This window comes from Homo sapiens, chromosome 10 (assembly GCF_000001405.40).
Source record: "Homo sapiens chromosome 10, GRCh38.p14 Primary Assembly".
Classification (NCBI taxonomy): domain Eukaryota; kingdom Metazoa; phylum Chordata; class Mammalia; order Primates; family Hominidae; genus Homo; species Homo sapiens.
Genome location: NC_000010.11, coordinates 125,449,182 through 125,469,906, shown reverse-complemented (window position 1 = coordinate 125,469,906; position 20,725 = coordinate 125,449,182). Strand labels below are relative to the sequence as shown.

Genomic DNA, 20,725 nt, shown 5'->3' with positions numbered 1-20,725 from the left:
GTGCATATGATCACAAAGGGAAATAATTCACTGGAGTTGTTTCTATTGTTGCTTTCCTTTAAGGTAATGGTTCTCGACCGGGGGCAATTTTGCTTTCCAGGAGACATTTGGCAATGTCTAGAGACCTTTTTGGTTGTCACAACGGAGGGAGGATGTGCTACTGGAGTCCAGAGGGTGGAGGCCAGGGATGCTGCTGAAAATCCTACCACGCACAGGACAGGTGCACCACAAAGACTTATCTGACCCAAAATGTCAGTGGTGCCAAGGTTGACAAGTCCTGCTTGGAAAATAATTTAACTGTAGAGACATTGCCATGTGCCATGTGCAGGTGGAGTTGCCAAAACCAGATGAATTTTGTGAAAACAAGTCTGGCCTTCTCCTCCCGCTCCCTGATTACCTTCTTTGTCTATTTACCCATCATTTAGTTCCCTTGTGCTGCAAAGCTTTTTGTGTTTTTTTATGGACTCAATGCTTAACTATATGAGCTTTTCATTACCCATTCTAAAATCGTGACTGGTTGTAATGTAAATTGTATAACACATCTTTCTGCAGCTTCAGATTCTGCAACTTAAACCTCCTAGGCTGCTTATCTGTCTCCCACCACCTACCTGCGTTTTATGCACTGCACTTGGCATTCTTGATTTTTCCTTTCATATTAATTTCAATGGTGCCCAGAGGGTACCTCTCACCATATAATAGGTTGCTTTGTGAACAATTCCAGTAAGAGAACCATTCTGCCCAAACAGTGAGATACTCTGGAATGTAAAAAACATATCCTCAGTGTATCATTCACATTTCTAGCAGACGAGTGTATTCTGCAATTGTACTGAAATGTAAATGAAGATGAATTATTTGTTTCTCCTTTCACTTTAAAAAGGCCCCCACTATTGCAGATAATACTCTCAGCCACACAAAATGGTTAGAACTGGAAAAGTTACCCACTGGACATGGATGGATATTTATTTTGTACTTAAATCTGCAAATCATTAAGTGTCCCTTGTCCTGAGATCATTATTTTCCTCATAATAGACTTCTGTTGCATTCACATTGTTCCAGCTTTTGATTGACCATTTGGAATATGACAGTTGCTTGTCGCATTTCATTTGGCTGCAGTTTCCCCTAGTTCATTTTTGCAGTTATCCCTGGAGCGTACTTTGCTTTATGTGATGTCTAAAGAAGCTTGCCTCTGTCTTTTCAGAAATCTTTGTCCTAATGAGAAAACTAAAAAGACTTTCTGAAAATGTTGATTTTTTTTAATGCGATGCCGTTACTTGGCAGGGAACGTGGAACACGGAACACTTCAGATTTTCAACGATGCTGGATTTGAGCTGTTCACTTGAAAATAAAGTCTGTTGCATCACAAGTGCTGGTTGGCATCGCTGTCCTCCTATCAGTGGATTAAGAAAAGGCACAGCGAAAAACTAGTTTAAAATCACCAGTCGGATATTTTACAGGTGGGTCTTTAAGGATTGTCTGCTCAATATCTCACCCGAGCGCCTGCGTGCCGCTGATTCTTCCTCTGAACTGTGTTGCATCTTCCCATCCCCAGGCGAGGTCCAGCACGATCACTCACACGGCTGCTGCTAGGCTGGCTCTGCCCGTTATTCTTCCATCCTGGCACCATGCTTCTAATTTATCCTGAATACATGGAGACTTGAGCACTGATGGGATAGATAAAAAAAACGACAGCAATCTTCTCTCCAAAAAAGCAACATAAGACTAGATAAAATGGTCAAAAATAATCATTTCAGAATGATTCTAGAAAATGACCAAAGGCAGACAACAAATTGAGATGTGTGTTTCGTTTTTTTTGAATCTACTGGGGCTTGGAAGGAACAGTGGGAGACTATGGAATTTTAGCTCAGGGCAGCGTGGTATAGTTTCACAATGGAATACTACTCAGAAATAAAAGCGATAAACTGTTGATACATGCAACAATGTGGATGAATCTTAAGATAATAATGCTGAGTCAAAGAAGCCAGACAAAAGTATGTATAGTGTGATTCGAATTATATGAAATTCTACAAAATATACACTAATCTATAATGACAGAAATAGATCAGGGGTTGCCTGGGGAACTGGGGTGGAGGGTGTGCCAAGAGAGGCAGGAAAGAAGGATTATGAAGGGGCAGGAGGAGAGCTTTGGGGATGGGGATGTATTCATTATCTTGATTGTGATGATAAATTCTCCGGTGTACACATATAGCAAAATTTATCAAATTATACACTTTAAACCATGTGCAGTTTTTGTATATGGATTGTACCAAAATAAAGTTTTTTAAAGGGATGCTAATCAATGGATTATACTACCTGTAGCTTGCCTACACCTCATCTCCTTCCTCAAAACAGTTAACCTACAGGTACCTAGTAGCTATTCCAAAACTGCTCCTCGAACTTGTGAATGAGTAAGAGAATGAACAAACGCACCCACTTATCAACCTATTCTATGTCCTCAAATAAATTCCTCAATATTATCATTTCCCTTTGAAGAATGGGAGAGTGGAGTTTACCCTTTTGGGGCAATTTTCTTGGATAGGTAGACATTGATCTCAATATCAGAACACTTAAACTATGGAGCACTAAGTAGCTTTTAAATTTATAGCTGTAAAATTTGTGGCAAACACAGATAGGGTGTTACACTCATAATTAGAGATATTTATTTTGCTGTCTGGAGGTTTCCAAGAATTGCTTCTGTCTCCAGACCTATTTCTTAAATCAATAAATTGATGTATTTTAGACTATACTTCACATAAAGTGAACCCACATGATTTGTGCTTTTATAATATTATTGTAGTTACCTATCAGAATTTAAGATTCTCTTCTGGATATTCTCTTAAAAATAACTGATTATGATGGTTATAAAAACTAGAACTCTAGAACAAATAACTATCAAGCCTATGAAATATTTATAAACCGCCTTTATTGTGGGTCTTTCCTACTGAATCCTAATAAGCATTGTGTGGTCATTTGTTCAGCTTCTTGCTGATATTGGGCTCCTGTTCTTTGAAGAGCAGTGGATGATTTGTGTCCCAGGGTGATTTATAAGGCAGCTATTAAGCAATCAATAGCATTTTGCTTTTTCAAACAGTTCCTTAGCTTAGTTAGTTTCATGAAGTATCACTTTCAAATGACAGAAGCAGCATCCTCCTCTAGGAAAGATCTAGGTCAGAATTAAATTGCATTGAAATGTTTTACTTGTCAATACTCCAATGATGGTTAAGTTGAAGCCCTGGGTCAAATGAGGGGTGGTCCACCTTGGGAAAAGAGGAAGAACCTTGACCCATGACCTGGCTTCAAATCCTGGCTCCTCAACTTCTTGGCCATGTGACCTTGAGCAGATTCCCATCTGTTTCCCAACTGGTATAGAAAACAGATATAGATTAGTGCCGGGCGCGGTGGCTCATGCCTGTAATCCCAGCACTTTGGGAGGCTGAGGCATGGGGATCACCTGAGGTTGGGAGTTTGAGACCAGACTGACCAACATGGAGAAGCTCCGTCTCTACTAAAAATACAAAAGTTGCCGGGCGTGGTGGCGCATGCCTATAATCCCAACTACTCGGGAGGCTGAGACAGGAGAATTGCTTGAACCTGGGAGGCGGAGGTTGCAGTGAGCTGAGATCGTGCCATTGTACTCTAGCCTGGGCAACAAGAGTGAAATTGTAAAAAAAAAAAAAACAAAAAAAAGAAAGAAAGAAAGAAAAAGAAAAAGAAAAAAGAGAAGAAAAGAAAATAGATATAGATTATAAATGTCCTTGCAAAGTTCTTCTGAGGATAAAATAATAGTTACTTTTTAAAAGCACCTAGCACGGTGTTTAGCATATAGTAGACACTCAGTAAATGTTAGCTTATTTGCATAGACTCTTTAATTTCCGTTTCGAGTAGTGAATCCAAGTCTTAGCTCTGCTAAGCCGGGCCCCAGTTTTAGCATCTGACAAATGGGAATAATAATTTTGTCTTCGGGATCAAAGCTTGGTAACTTACACTGAAGAGCTTTGCCAATGGCAGAGTATACATTAATATAAGATGGTCATTATCTCTCAAAGCTTGGCCAGGCATAGTATTTGCTGGAGATGGGAAAGGACGGTAACTAAATTTCAATGGCCTCATTGGGCAGGATCCCATGCTGAATGGACAAGCCTAAATACAGATTTTCACCAAAATTATATTCATCTCTTGGTTTGGGTATGGGTCTATGCTAGGCACTGGGACACACTGGTGAGCAAGACCTTGTCTGTCTGGCTCAGATAAGGCAACGCTGGAGCCCAGGCAGTGGTGGTGGATGAGGGCCAGTCAGCTCCACTCCCTAATTCTGTTGGTCCTGCTTCTAAACATCCATTCTGTTATTTCCATCTCCAGCAACTCCCTAGTAAAATTGCATGTCTTTACATCTTTGCTACATGTATACATACACACATATTTGTACACGTGGCACTTCTCACTTATTTCTAAATAACAATCAAAAGTAATACGGACCAAATTAAAAGAATGCATTTTTGTTCCCACTTCCAAAGATTTTCTTTTCCTACCCCTTACTGCTAATTTTAAATGTTAACATAGTACAGACAGCAAGGGTGGCCACTGAGATTTCTGCTTTGGGGACTTTATTGAGATTTTTATTTTCTGCATAATTCATGTTTTGTTTTTGTGAATGCTTTATGAATGTTTGAAGAGAATGTGTATTCCCTATTTTAGTTTAGAAAATTCTATGTTAGAATGATTAGGTAAAACTTATAAATTGTGCTATTCCAATGTCTGATGGGCTTACTTATTTTTGTGTCTACTCAATCTGTAGGTTTCTCGGAAGTGTCTTCTTCTGTCATGATATCCTCTAATCTTGTTTTTTCATAAAACCTCTCCTGTCTGCTTTCCTTTACTCAGGAAACCACTAACATTTCTTTTTCTTCCCAATGCTATAGAGTTGATATTAAAAAAAAAATCCTACTATATCTAGGGTTTAATGACAGGAGGAAGAATTAGGTTCCTAAGCCCAGTTAGCCCTACCCTTCTATTATTACTACACGTGTTCAAAAACTAGCATGGCAAAAAGTATCTGCGTTGGGAGAGAGGAAGTCTGGGCAAGAATTCTGGGAGTGCTGCAGCCACAGAAGGTCTACTGCACACAGTGTGATCGTGGAGGGCAGACCACAGGGGACACAGCATGGTTACTATCCTAAGTCTACGTTTAGCAGCTTTGTCACCATTTAAGTCTTTCTCTGCTTTGTTTTCCATCTGTAAAATGGGGATAGCAATAGAACGGCCTTATAGGGCTTTTGTAGGACCGAATGAAACAATGGATGCAAAGCACTGTTCGACAGAGCACCGGTCGATAGACAGGGTGGCGCACACTGGGGCATTTCAGGGACTGTGAGCTTCCCCAAGACTACAAGCATGAGAGGCAAGGCTGAGCTTTGAAATCTCTTCCCATCTGCCTAGCGCAGCACTGGATACAATTAGGCACTTAGTAGATATGTTTGATTATTAAGCTGAGTAGAACTATGGTGCTTACACTTGAGAAATTTCCACTGTAATTGCGAAAAGAGAACAAATGAAAACTCCAATTCCCAAGAACACAAATTAGACTTACATAGATAGGCACAAATACATCTCACCAATTGCAGGCTGAGGAGTTACTGGAGCTACTCGAATCATTGAAACGTAAGGGGATTGATTCCATAAACTCACCTGCAACCTAGAATCAGTTTTAGGCCCCTTTGAAATATCATAATGAAAGAAAGCCTTCACATAGAACGCAATTTAGTGTGTTTATTATTTAAACATTTTTGTGAGTGTGAGAGAGAAGCAGTGACTTGATAAAGATACTAAAAATGTTTCAGTAAACATATTAGAACACTCATCATGAACTAATACCCACTGCATGTCACTAAAGGTGGCTTTTTTAGCCAATATTTCTTAAAAATTTTTTTTCCTGTTGTCTTATACCAGGCCACTTACCACATTCCTATTACCTGTGTGGAGACATTTGAGTCTGTGACCCTTTCAGAATATCCCATTGCTTTTAGAACTTGTTTAACCATTCCGTACGTATATTCATCTTACCTAAATTTGAGGATACATTTGATTTAAAAAACAAAAACAAAAACAAAAAAAACCCAAAAAAACACCTTTTGAATCAATTGCAATCAATAACAAGGGTAATCAAGATGGGTAACTCATTCCACTTTGGGGTGAAAATGAAATGTGAATATAATGTAAGAGTAAAAGCACTATTTATATAGTGCTCAGCATATGCCAGGCATATATATTAACACATTGGCAATTATTATTATTATTATTATTATTATTATTATTATTATTTGAGACCGAATCTCGCTCTATCACCCAGGCTGGAATGAAATGGCGCAATCTCGGCTCACTGCAACCTCCACACATTGACAATTATCAATCTATCTATCTGCTAACTTAGCCCTTTCAAAGAAGCTGTGTGAGATAAGTAGTGGTAGAGGTGGGATTGGAACAGAAATAACAGGTCACTGGTTCTCCGCTCTTTCTTACCTACTGGGCCAACCATGTTGCCATTTGGAAGAAATTGGAGTGGTTTTCTTGTCATAACTCAAGTCATAACTCGTAAACTGGTTTGAATTTGGGGCAGCACTGGGATTCTCGGCAGCATAATTGTAAAACAGACATGCCCAGTGATTATTTCAGATGAGTGAAAATTTGAAATGGAGATTTATATTGACATTTTAACTGCATCGTAACTGACTTTCAGAATTATTCATTCTACTTTCTAGTGGTGGTTTCCTTTGGAAAGAGAGTCTGGCTTTTCTCCCATTTCCTTATTTATAAGAGGCAACTAGCATCTGCCCACTCCCTGTGATGATGTGAGGAATAATTACACATTGTGTGCTTGGTTTTGAAGAGCACTATGTTAGAGACATGCTCTTCATTAATTATGCATCGGCCTTTATTGCATGCTTTATACTCCTTCTGAGACTATATTCTTGACTTCTTTCACTGATGTTGTAACAAACACAGTGGAATTAGTTTTCTTTGATCATTGCCTGTAGTGATCAAAAAAATTCTTTCCTGAAATATTTCTCAAGGGACACTTGTCAGAGATGGGACAGCATACCAGACTGGCTGGAGGTGCACTGGCTTCCTTGAATGAGTTAGAAGCCCGGTCAAAGGCGCCCAGTCATCATTGGGGGAGAGAGATGTTTCTTAAAGAGAACCTTCTGGCAACCCCAAACAACATGGCTGGGGGGGCAACCACCCCAGCTCAGATTCTGGGAGCTTTGAGTATCTGGCCAGGGTGACGGGAACCAGCAGAGACAAATCAGACGTCTGGTGGGGAGCAGTCATTTTTCCAGAATATCTGACCATAAGCCCCAGGGAGGATCCGGGCAGGATGCAAACCCTGTGGAAGGAGTTTAGCAAGAGCTAGATGAGGCAAATGGGTGGGGCTTCCTTCCATCCTAGTGGGAGGAACAAACTGCAACAAAGTAGGGAAAACTGAGAAGCCAGATGAAAGACCCTGGGCCAACCAAAGTGACTGGGGGAAAGGGTGCAGTGGCTCAGGAGCTGCAGGAATCCAGAGTTCATCCCAGGTGCAAAGGGCTCTAGGGCTGGGAACCAGGAAGGACCCTTAATACCATGGGGTCAGTGGAGGCAAGGAGCTGCAAGGCGGGTCCTAGAGGCCAGGAAATGGGGGCTGCACATACCCTACCTCTAGCAGGGCGGTTTAGAAAGTGAGGCATGCCACCACATGGTGCAACTCCAGGGCCTCCATTTGCACTGCAAAGTGGGTGAATTTCGTCCACCTCTCCCTCCCACCCCACCCCTTAACCACTGTAGACTCCACAGTCTGCAAGGCTTCGGGCAACGTTCCTGAGCCTTGGTTCTTGTTAGGGGAAACCATCTGCAGATCTAACTGCCAGGAACCAGGGGAGTGGGAGAGGAGGCAGCAGCATCCATTCAGCCCTGGGGGCTGCTGGTTCCGATCGGCCCGACGCCATATTCCTCAGCTATCACGGTATCTGACCATATAGTAAAGAAGAAAGAACCACATATAGAGGAAGAACAGTGAATATTTAAGGCATAGAAAAGGAGATATAAAAAGATGTCATGCTGTGTGGACATGGTTTTCCCATGGACGGAATTAGCTTATACTGTACTGATTTCTGCTACAACTCTATCTTTGTTATCTTTGTTATACCAATATAACAGAGGTGTAAAGGACATTTGTTATCGTGATTCCATTTATTCTGTAGTTAGACTTTCATTTTATTTTTAAAATAAGTCCTTGAACATGAATGGTCATAGAAAATTTACTGTTCTATAATTGCATATAATCCCCAAACTTCATCCAAAAACAATTCTTGGGTAGCAGAAAACTGTCATATTCAATTGTGTGTCTTCATAGCAACAACCATGCGCTGGGTTGAGGGGGGAAGCAATTTCATTTGCTTCATTTTCATACAGAGGAGAAGTCCAATTGTGCTTTTGTAATTAAGTCCCCTCACATCAAGAGAAAAGACTATGTCTTTGAAAGGTGCATTGAACCCAGATGGAAAAGTTAATCAAAATAAAAAGCAATGATTGTCTTGTGTTTATTAATGAGATAAATATTTAACAAAATATCCCTGTTTTTCATCTTTCTATTAAAAATGTGGCAATTTGAAAGCATTTTTGGACATAATCGCACATTAAGAGCCTAAGCTACTAATTGGATTAAATTTTCCAAACTTCTCAATATTTTTACCCATATTGTCACAGGCTCATTGAGTGACAACAATTTTATCAAAGCCCTTTTATGCCTGTCTTGGGATCAGCTTTATCTGAATATTAGGGTCCTAAGACGGACTAGGAAATCATAGGGTATCTTGATGTCAGATCTCATCAATTTTAATTTGGAGTTTTACAACACACAAGGTTTGGGCAAGATCTTTTTATCCGCTTGTACTTCTGCCAGAAATCATCCCTCTCTTGTCACTGTCAGCCTCAGCTGGCCCAGAAATTCTGTTGTTTGGAACTTGACCCAGCTTAGTGGGGCCACCAAAGGGCTGAGCCACTACAGCATGAGACTGACCAATTCACTCCTTATTTGAGCCTCTACACGTCTTTATATCTCTTTTCCTAACATGGCTGTTTTTTGCTTTTTCATCTGGGAAGCACCATGGCCCAGTGGCAAGAATATAGACTTTGAAGTCCTATCAGCTGGTATTTAAATCGTATTTTCGTTCAGAAATTATATTAGTCAGGGTTTTCCAGAGAAACAGAACAAATAGAGAGTTCAAAATCTGACAGGTTAGGCAGGGAAGACTTGCAGTTGAGTTCTGAGGCCATTTAGCCAGCAAAATCCCTTCTTGCTCAGGGGTGTTCAGTCTTTGTGCTATTCAGGCCTTCAACTGATTGGACGAGGCCCACCCACATTATGGAGGGCAATCAGCTTTACTCAAAGTCCACCAATTAAAATGTTAACCTCATCCAAAAAACACCTATACAGAAAAAGTCAGAATCATGTTCAATCAAATATCTGGGTACTGTGTCCCAAGTCAGAATTGGACTTGGGCCGTAACCAACCAGTACCCCTGGGCCAGTGCCTGTTTCTCCTGTTCCCTGTGTGACCCGAGGCAACTCACTCAGTCTCTGTGAGCCTCAGTTTCCTCATCTGTAAAATGGAAATACCAATATCTGCATTGCAGAGTCATTGGAAGACTTATATTAGACAACTGGCTCCAAGCTGAAACTTAGAGCTAAAATACATCTGAGCACCTTTTCTTCTGTCTCAGGGCATGTATGTGTATGTGCTGTACCTTCCCCAGGTGGCAGAGATTTCTGTTATAGTTGTTGTAGTTATTTAGGTTCCTGCTGAACTCACTTTTTATTAAACAAATCATTTTGGGTGCATACTATAGGCCGGCACTGTTCTGGGCTGGAGACCTAGTTGTGAATAAAACAAAGCAGACCTTCACTCTCTGGAGTATATAGTCTAGTGCAGGGTGGACAAGACAAACAATAAACAAGTCCTGCCTAGGACCAGCCCAGAACCAGTGTGAGACTTCGTAGCAAAAGCACTGAAGTGGTGACCGCTCCTTTCTGTGAAATGTGATGAAACACAAAGGCAGTATTAAACCACACTATCCATGTACAGCCATTCAATAAGTTCTGGTTTCTCACACAATAACCAGTTTGATGCTTTTTTAAAAAGCGCCACAAATATAATCCTTGAACATGTTTCTTTCTCTGATGGCCTTGTTTTTGCTGGCACTGGATGTCACTTCCCTCGGCTCCCAGCATGTGGGTCATTGCCCTATTCCATGGGCTCATGGCACTGGCCACATCATCACTAAGTAACTATGTAATCCTTTGTTTCATGTCCTTGTCCCACGATGGATGCCTGTGACCCAGGAAGCCAGAAATGGCCTCTCTTGTCCCCTTGTGTCTCCAGTGCCCAGCACGCCCAGGCCTTGACTGAAACTCAGCTGATGCTTGTTGTCATAGAACGATCTTCTCGATTGTTTCAAGTTCATCTCCCCACTAGGTGTAGGCCCCTTGGAAGGAGAACCATGCATTTTCATCCTTACCTCTAGAAATTAGCTCAGGACTTGCCACACAGTACATATCTACTAAAATGTTTCCTATAAAATACATGAATGAGTGAATGCTTTCTCCTTTGATCACACAGCAAGTCACTACAGAACTGTGAAAAAGGAATACATTAATCTTGTGTTCTTTCAGTTTGACCAGAATAGAAAATTTTAATCTCCTCAGAATTTAATAGTTTTCAAGTCTCCTTAACCATACGAAATTGTGGGAGGCTGCACACTGGGTTTTCATCACAGTTCAGATCACTGTGCTCCGTGTAAAATGAAATTTGTATTTCTTCATCAGTAAGTGGCCTTAGGCTCTCAAAAGAAGAACATGGCATTTGTCACTGGAGACACTATAATTCCACATCTGAGCAGAACTATTTCTCTCCTCTCTGAAGGAAGTCTTTGAAAAGAAGTCATTGAAATTATTGACCTCACAAATACACAAAGCTACCCTAGACTTAACCCTCATGACTGGGCACATGAAGCACGTACCCTCTATTGTCTGGAAAGTCTCCCAGGATGTAAATATCTTCCAGCTGTGGGCCCTCCAGAGAGTAGGCCTCCTTCAGCTGCAGAATTGTCTTCTCTGCCTACTGTCTCCAGCATCAAAATACAACCTCCAGGACATCTTGAACAAATAAATTACTGGGAACTTCAGTGTGTTCTTTAACGACTACTTGCTTGAGAGAGGCTGACAGTTTTGAACTGGTGCACTTCCAAGTGACCTCGTCAGACGTTTCACCATGATAGTAGATGACGCTCTAAGCAGCCCAGCATCCCTGGAGCCGGCATAGGAATCACAGGTGACATGGAGTTGACACACCTTAAGAGATCCCACAGGCACTGAAAATTACTCTTCTGAAGATTTTCCTTTTAGGTTTTTCTGAGATTTTGTAGAACTCTGGCTTTCCCTTATCTGAGAAGTTAATATTGCTCATGGCCAGAAGTTATAATAGGATGATAAAGTGAGTGTTTTTGTTTTTTGTTTTTTGTTTTAAAGATTCTTGGGTGCCTTTGCTGATTTTCTCGATGTGGGACTTGACATTCGAGATCACATAGGAAGAGCAGGGGTAATGAAAAAATAGACAGTGTCTCCATACCACACTTGGGAAAACTCACACCTTGTTTCTGGTTATAAAAGGAAAAATCCTCATACTCATTGATCATCCCCAGAAGGTAGAGACGCCAGAAACTTCTCACTTCGGCTTGAGGACTGAAACATCTTGACTTATTCCCATTTGGGTTTAATTAGCATTTTCAACCAAAAGAAACTGATCAGATTGAAAAGAAAGACAAGGTGGACTCGTCATTCCTTAAGTCTTTCTTCTTTTCCCCTTGATTACAAGGTTAAACTACAAATTTACCCAGTTGCCAGCTAATCCTGCTATTGTTCTTCTGGGACACCCATACTGGAGACCCAGCAGAGGAGGTGCACAGTCAGAATGATGATAACAACACATCTCCAAATGCAAGAGAGGGCGTCAAGGAGCTGCATGTGCTCGGCTGTGTCTCTCCGAGGCTGTGACTACCTACGCCAGGCACTCTATGGGCTATTTGGATGGTTCTTAGTTTCATAACACGTGGTAGAGTGATTTGCAATCTTAATTCCTCCTACCTTTTTTAGTGCCGAGTAGGGGACACAATAGCAATCCTGTACCATTGCTTTAAAGTCACCTAAATAAAATATGTATGGCCTTCCTGTTACAGCACTTCTAAAACACTCTGTAACGGTCGAGGGCAATTTAAAAATAAATCATTGTTCAAACAGTCTTAGTTCTGGAAGGAAGTGCTACACCAGGAACGGAGGTTGACTTTCAAGAGCATATTTCAATGCTGTGGAATCCCATGGTATCATAGCTTGTTACTAGGCTGGTGCTGGACACAGAGTGGGCACTCAATAAATACTTGTGGAGTTGGCATTGATCAGATCAGATAGATGGTGGGTCACAACCTGCCCTGTGGCATCTGCTGTGCACAGAGAGAGCATCCAATACAGCTCTCCCAGGAGGAGGGGCAGAGGCAGCCCATCATCAGGGCAAGGTTCAGTCGGTCTCCTATGCTGGATTTTCTCTAGCAAATATTCCCCACCCATTGGAGCTACACGAATTAAGGATTTTAAATGCCAATAGAATAATTATGTATATTATACTTGAATAATGGACAAATTTTTTTTTTTTTTTTTTTTTGAGACAGAGTCTGACTCTGTTGCCCAGGCTGGAGTGCAGTGGTGTGATCTTGGGTCACTGAAACCTCTACCTTCTGGGTTCAAGTGATTCTCCTGCCTTGGCCTCCCAAGCAGCTGGGACTACAGGTGCGTGCTACCACACACCTAATTTTTTGTATTTTTAGTAGAGATGGGGTTTTGACAAATTGGCCAGGCTGGTCTCAAATTCCTGACCTCAAGTGATCCACCCACCTCGGCCTCCCAAAGTGCTAGGATTACAGGTGTGAGCCACTGCACCTGGCCTATTCTTTTTTAATTTTTATTTTAAGTTTAGGGGTACAAGTGCAGGTTTGTTACATAGGTAAACTTGTGTCATGGGGGTTTGTTGTACAGGTTATTTCATCACTCAGATATTAAGCCTAGTGCCCATTAGTTATTTTTCCTGATCCTCTCCTTCGTCCCACCCTCCACCCTCCACAAGGCCCCAGCCTGTGTTGTTCCCTCTATGTGTCCATGAGTTCTCACCATTTAGCTCCCACTTATAAGTGAGAATATTCAGCACTACTCTTATTTGCTAAAAAACTATTACTGACTACAGAATTCATGTTACATTGTGCCATTTTGTGGAACACAAAAGGGGTTATATTTTTATGAACATGAGTGACCTTGTATACTGCTTGAGAAAGTCAATCTCCTGTCCAGGATGCATAAAATTAATATACCTTAAGGGAGAAAGATATTAGTGTCTAACTCAGACAATGCAGGAAATCTGGCCAGTTGAATATAATATCCAAAAACCAGATACAGTTTCATAAACAAAATATAAAAAACATGCTTCTAACATTCAGATGTGACACAAAATAGCATATGCTGGCTGTGTTTTTATTTAATTTGTCTTGGGTAAAGATGAGTTTAAAGCTAAATGGAGTGGGGATGGAGAGAAGCAATTAAGGAAAATTAACATATTAAAAAGTGCCTACAATGAGTATATTAAAATACACTATTCACTAGCAAAATTTAGTGGGGCTGCATTTGCTTCTGAAGATCTTACCATCACCAGAAAGGAATTCTTTCTCGCTTAATCTATTTTCTGCTGCCTGACTTTACCCGAGCAGTTCTGACTTATTCTACTGATCAAACAGGCTGAGCAAGATAATTATCTATGCATGGATGCTTTGGAGTAAAAGGCATCTCAGGAGTAGTTCAACTTTCTAATTTTTACAAAACAAAAGGAGCAAAAAAAGGGGGAAAGGAGCAACAGCGCTTAATACACAACTAATGAAATGCTAATATGCACAAATGAGTTTTGAAAAGAACACAAATATTGCTTTGAAATTAATGATACCTCTCCCATTGTCTTAAAAAATGGAAGATTGAAACCTGTATCGCGATGTTTACTCTGTTTAATTTTCAATTGTTTCTTTGATGTTTCAGATAGAAAGGTTTGCACCTGCAAAGAAAAAGGCTTTGAACAGATTGCAAACACTCTGCAAACACTTCATCAGGAATGTTAGTTGTCAGCCTCCCCCTAGCACAAGGGAGCCCTGATGATATCTTTGTGTGCCTTTGACTCCTTTTGATTAATAAATGCAAACAATTTTTCTCAGTAACCTCTGTTGCAATCTATGCATGACAATTAGGGACAACCTCTGGTGAAGGGATGCACTGAAGTCTGTTTTTGCTTCCTCTGCTGCAAAATAAATAGTTGATGTTTAATGCTTTTTGACAATTAGAGAATGAAATCTCTGCAGCTTTGCAATTTCAGCAACTGTTTATTATTTCCATTCCCTGCAATGAAGGATCGATGTTTATGACAATTTTAACTCCACTCTGGATGGACAATTTGATTATTTCTTTCCCAGAGTTTCATGTCCTATGATTGAATTCCTGGGTGCAAATATCATTGGCTTTTCACAAAATGAATTTGTGATGTTTCCATCAAAACAATCTATTGAATGGGCATTATAAGGAAGCCAAGTGTGACTCCCATGGAATATTCCATCATTGCTCTCCAGGGTAGAGACAGCTGCCACAGCTTGTGAAGGGAGTCAAGTTTGGTTCTGATCTAAGCACTATGGCCTTCCATCAAGGATGGGCTGGCAGTGCCTTAGCGAGTTACATCCTTGTTGTAGGCACTAGGGTGTAGCCAGCCTTCTGGAATCACAGTGACTAGATTTTTCTGCTGCTAGGCAGCCTTTGCTAAATGTGGAGATGGTAGAGGAAGGACAGGATTGTAGCACTGCACAACTCCAGGAGGCGCCATCCTCATGGAATCTAAGCTGGATGGTGACCTGAAACTCTACTATATTTTCAGTGTTCTGGCATGTTTGTGGTCACAGAACAACCCAAGGAGTCACAGTGTGCCAAGAGCCCAAGCTTTGGTGACTGACTGACAGGTTCTACACTTACGGGGCTGTGATCTTGGGTGTCTGATGTGCCCATGGCTTCTGCCAGTTGTCCATTATCTTTCTATCACTTAGTGATTTACCTATTCAATACACTATTTATTGGGCCCTTACAATAAACAAATCGTTCAGGGGCAACTGTGCAGAGCAGGTGCCCGTGAAGAAAAGAGGATGGTTTGGCAGGAGATGGCCAGGCAGTGGGTTAAGGAGTAGATCAAGGCCCACTCAGGAGCCAACAGGAGGGTGGTCTGAGTGGAGGCCAATGGGGGCCAACAGGTGGGTGGCCTGAGTGCTGGGAGGTAGCACTGCTCAGAGCGGGAGGTGGGAGGCAGAGCTGCCCTGTGGCCAAAGGATCTTTGGATCAGGCTAGTCCAGGAAGAGTGATGGGCTGGAAAATAGCAAGGCCAGAGGGGTGGGGAGAAGACAAGCAAGGGATCTGAGGGGATGCATTAGCCTCAAAGAACAGGGGCAGGACGGGAGCCAACAGTCTAAGAGGCAAAGTCTGGAGAAAGAAGCTTCCTGAGATGTAGGTGGGGCAAGAAGGCTGGGGGATAGAGTTTTGTGTCGCTTGAATAAGCTGATCTCACAGGCTGACAGAATTGCTGGGGACCTGCGGAAGCTGGGGCATTTGGCAAACTACCATAATCACTGGACTGCTACTCCATCTTGAAACCAGGGACAATAATACCTACCTGCAGGTGGGTCAGGAGGCTTTAATGAAATAGTGTCTATGAAGCAACTGGAACAGAGTATGTGGTAACAACTGGCAGATGCAATGATTGCTACGATGATAACTAATCTCTGCTGGACATAGCGTTTACCTGAGGATCTCACTTGGCTGAATATCATACTTTCCCCTCCATATCTGTGGTCTTTAAGTTTTTGTTTGTGTCTTAATGATTTGGTTCCTGTATATTTGTTACTATAAGTCATCTGAAATAATCTTTAGAAATGGATGAGGGTACGTTATAACATTATAAATAAATATAGTTATCTGGGATAATAAGTGGATCTCATGTTCTCCAGACGAATTCATTCATTTATCTTATTTTCAAGGTGCTTTCTATTCAGAAGAGGATAAAATACCTTGGAGAGAAAAAAGATGGAAGAGAGAAGAATTTCAATTTTGGATTATTATTTTTAGCTGGACAAATTGAGAGGAAAAAGTTCTCAAATTTTATGTGAAAGAAGATTTATGAGATATGAATGAACTGCTGTCATTAGATACCGCCTTATTATACGCCAGCTGGTCATCAGCATGGAGGAGTTCAATGTGAAGAGCGATTGCAGGGAATAAATTCTCCATTCTTCACCCATGGAGCTGATGTTCTGGACCTGTCAACACTTTGCCCTAATCCACTGGTGCATTCTGACCTGAGGTGGTCGGGCACCAGGACCCCAGGAGGCTGTGGGAAGTGAGGGGCCAGCCTACTGGAGCCCACGTGGGACCAGGTGGAGCCTGCAACACGCAGTCCTCTCCCAGACAGCAGATTGGGGGTTAGTATCTGAGAGTAGCAGCCTGCAAGCCTGGACTTGCATCCCGTCTGCCACTTACTTTCTACCTGCATGAAGTTAAAGACTTTTAGCCTCTCTCAGCCTCAGTTTGCTTATCTATAAAGTGAGTGAAAATTATGCCCATATCAAAGGGCTTTACGGGTTAACAGTACTTGTTGAGCACCTTGCACTTAGCCTGGCATACAGTTAATATGTAGTAAATTATTATTTTTCAAAATAGCAAAGCTAGTACTCTTGAATTTGGCCCAGTTGATACCAAGTTCTAATCAATGATATTATAAGCCATGAATATGCTTGTGGAAAATAAACTCTGAAGAATTTGGATCAATAGAGTGAAGGGAAAAGTTGAATCGTTATGGGGTTGATGCAAGCCTAAAAGTTGTCTTCAATCTGAACTGGTAAGCAATGCTTACCAATTTAGCAGACTAAAGTCTGTTCTCACACTGCTGATAAAGACATACCCAAGACTGGGTAATTTATAAATAAAAAGAGTTTAATGGACTCACAGTTCCATGTGGCTGGGGAAGCCTCACAATCATGGCAGAAGGCAATAGGCACATCTTACATGGTGGCAAACGAGAGAGATTGAGGGCCAAGTGAAAGGGATTTCCCCTTATAAAACCATTAGATCTTGTGAGACTTATTCACTGCCACAAGAAGAGTATGGGGGAAACCAGCCCCATGATTCAATTATCTTCCACTGGGTCCCTCCCACAACACGTGGGAGTCATGGGAGCTACAATTCAAGATGAGATTTGGGTGGGGACACAGACAAGCCAAGCCATATCAAATGCCCACCTTGCCTTCTGCAGAAGCTGACTGCTCAGGGCCAGCTGGCTTTGGCTCCTGCAGGTTTGGTCTCAGAGCAGGCAGCAACAATGGTGGGCTTTGAACTCTGGCTGGGCAATTCTTTCTTGAGATTGGGACAAGCTGAATGGGAAAGTCACCATGCTTTTGTACGAGATCTTCTCCTCTCCTCAGGGAGAGAAGCACCCCACTCTAACCCACATAGGAAGAGCCAATATCTCATCTTATCCTCAGGATAACTCCTGAGGGAGTGGGGAGGAACTGTTATTATTCCCATATCACAGATGAAATGACTCAGACAGGCTCAAAGTCACAGAAGAGCTGAGTGGTAGCATGGGGTGAGCCCACAGGCAGTTTGACTGAAGAGATGACACCCTCAGCCAGTGTCCTTCCCCTCTGGGTACGGAGCCTGTAAAGGTGTACCCTGAAGATACAGAGGAAGGTAGCACACCAAAGAAGACTTTCCACAGAGACTGATTTTATTTCATATTTATGGATGCTAATGTAGAGAGAAATAATATTAAATCCATAGCAATAGATTAAAATACTCTTAGAGAAGGCAGGTAATTAAGGAGCAAGGGTGAAAAAGGCTTGATTATTTAAAAGAAAAATCGTGAGGATGAAAGATCTTCTCGGAGCAGCCATCAGAAGAGTAAGGAAAATCTGTTCTTGGGGTAGGAACAGGGTGGGCAGCATGGTGAATGTGTTGATTTGGGACACACCAGTAACAGAAGGGTCTGTGGTCATTACAGATTGAGGCCGCCATCGGCTCCTAGTGTGAACTTGTTATCGGAGTATTTTATAGTCCACCTGACCAAAAAGAACAACTGGACTGTGAAATGATAGAGCAAATAAAAAAAGCCGTAAAAGAGCCAGACTGATAGTAATGGGAGATTTTAAGTACCTGAGCACAGAGCAGAGTGCATTAAGTGGGTGAAATAAAGCTTGAAGTGTGTGTGGAGGAGGCGGTGGGGAGGGGAGAGTGGGAGGTGAGAGGAGGCTGGCGAGGAGGGAGGCGAGTTCTCCGGAGGGGACTGTCTAACTCAGCACCTAACATATCATAGAATGTAGAAGGGGTAATTAAAACGAGCATCTGCATTAGTGCATTGGCTCCTGGCCGGGTCAGCCCTATTCTTTCTCCTGGTCTGTGCATCCAAGGAAAGTCTTCCACATCCAGATTACTACATCATCGCATTGTTCAAATTGCACTGTTTAGTGTATTTGTTTAAAATTTAAATTGCATTTCTGGATTATAGTTTTAAAACATGTTTCTGAATAAATCTCAAAATGAGACTTTCTGTACTAGTAAATAAATACATGTATTTTATAAACCACTTTATTATAATCACTTATGAGTAAAATCACATTTTATTTAATCGCTTCAAGACAACTGCCTGGCCCGGGTTGCTTCAGGTGAGTGATGTGTCAAGTCCCCCTGACTTGCTCCAAGGGGCCATGGCTTCTGGAGAGAACACCAAACCCTCACACTCACAGAGCAAGACGTGGCATAGGAAGCCCAAGCACAAATCTACGAAGATCTGCAAATCAATGTGCATGGGTTATGCTGGCACTGATTCAACGCAGATAACGAGGGAATTCGGCAAGAGGAAAGCCACTGTCATTTCCTCCATCTTCAGGATGATGTTTGAGCCAGGCTATCCAGGCCCAGGTATAGGCCTGATCCACATTCTCAGGCTGAGGGCTGAGAAGCTGAGTACAAAACCATTTGCCAGCCTGAAGGTCCGGAGAATGGGAAGGTGTGGTTAAAGCATTCACCCAGTGATGGCCTAGAATGCAGTGTGTTAAGAGGGCTGATTATCTGAGGGAGTAATCGAGAGATGCTCAATTCTGAGCTTGCAGATGCAAGAAGTAAAATGGATGGGGGGCAATCCAGGGTCCAAACCACACAGGAGCAACTAGGCAAGGTGCAGGAGGCAGGGGTCTCCTTGGAGACAGGCCTCACCTCTGCAGGTGTCCGACATCCCCTCTTTACCAAGGGCATAATCACTGAACTCAAGGTTGTGACGGAATGAAGCCTCCCACTCTCTTCCCCCTCGTGCAGGCTAGTTGCCTTTGTGGCTGAGGCATTTTCGTTCTAGTGCACTCAACTCCAAATGAAAAGGCAAAAAAAGAAAAAAAGTGAATAATGGCATAGAGTTCCCTCACAATGCAAAAATAAAACCCTGGCAAAATATTATTCTAGCTCTTTGTTCTGAGATTATGCTTTCCATTTTTGGGATGTTAATAATAGGCTCTGGAGGGAGTTTTTTTCTGGGCCCAATAGCAATGTTATAAAATTAAACATCCATGTGAGTGAACTGAAGTCATTATCTTGCAGAGTAGAGGAAAGCCTCTTCGATTCCAGAGCACCCTCAGACAGAGCACCTCAAGTCAGTTCTAATAATCGTTCCTCCAAAATCATAGCTCCACTTAAGGGTTAGGCATTCGCCAACGTGTTGAAGCTTCGTCTCTCTAAATCACATCCCCAGTAAGCATCTTTCCTGGTGGCTCCTCGGGGTCTTGTGAAGCCAAAGAAAGCAGCATGGGGAGTTTTGGGATGGACGCCCACATCACCGTGGTGTCAGCCTGAGGCCTTCCCAGGCCACGGCCTGTGGTCCTCCCAGACCTTCATCCCCTTCTCGTGCTGGGTGATGAACCCATGGGCTGAAGATAGAGGCTGTGATGAGATGCAGGGAAAAGTGCACCTCTGAGAAGGAGCCAAAGAGTGCCCTGAGAAATCTCCAGATTGGAGACCCAAGCACACTAAAGAGCTTCTAAGCCCTTGAAAAGGACTCAGGGAAAGGCCCTGGCACACCGCTGTGCCTCACACTTGTCCACGCAGCTTCTAGGCCGCGCAAAAGGGCTCCTTCCTCCATTGGGTGACACATGGATTCATTCAGAAGTGTCCCGGCTTTGCTATTCAGTAGCTGTGAAGTCTTAGGCAACTTACTGAATCTCTCTGTTCCTTCATTTCTTTTGAGGGTAATAGTTGTACCTGCCTCACAGGGTTGGGAGAGTTAGATGAATTCATGTGAAACACTTGGAGTGGAGTTTAATAAATAGTCAGTGTTAACCATGACCACAGTGGATACGGTGATTGTATCAGCAGGGGTCCTGTTGGGGAAACAGAACCATTTTTTTTTAATAGAAAGAATCTAATGCAAGAAACTGCTTAAACAAACATTGGGGAACAGAATAAGTTAAGGAACATAACTGCCAGGAAGCAGCCGCCATCCAGCCAGGGTTGGGAAACATCGAGATGATTCTATATCACCTTA

At 42.2% G+C, this 20,725-nt stretch overlaps 1 long non-coding RNA gene across 2 annotated transcripts in view; it reads left to right on the top strand.

The window, feature by feature from the left end:
- Positions 1-18,781, top strand: part of LOC105378543 (uncharacterized) — a 43,029-nt gene extending 24,248 nt beyond the window's left edge. For both annotated transcript variants that reach the window (XR_007062331.1, XR_946437.3), the window contains exons 2-3: positions 1,279-1,454; positions 16,182-18,781. This is a non-coding gene — a long non-coding RNA (uncharacterized LOC105378543). The remainder of the gene's footprint in view (positions 1-1,278; positions 1,455-16,181) is intronic.
- The last annotated feature ends 1,944 nt before the right edge of the window (positions 18,782-20,725 follow it).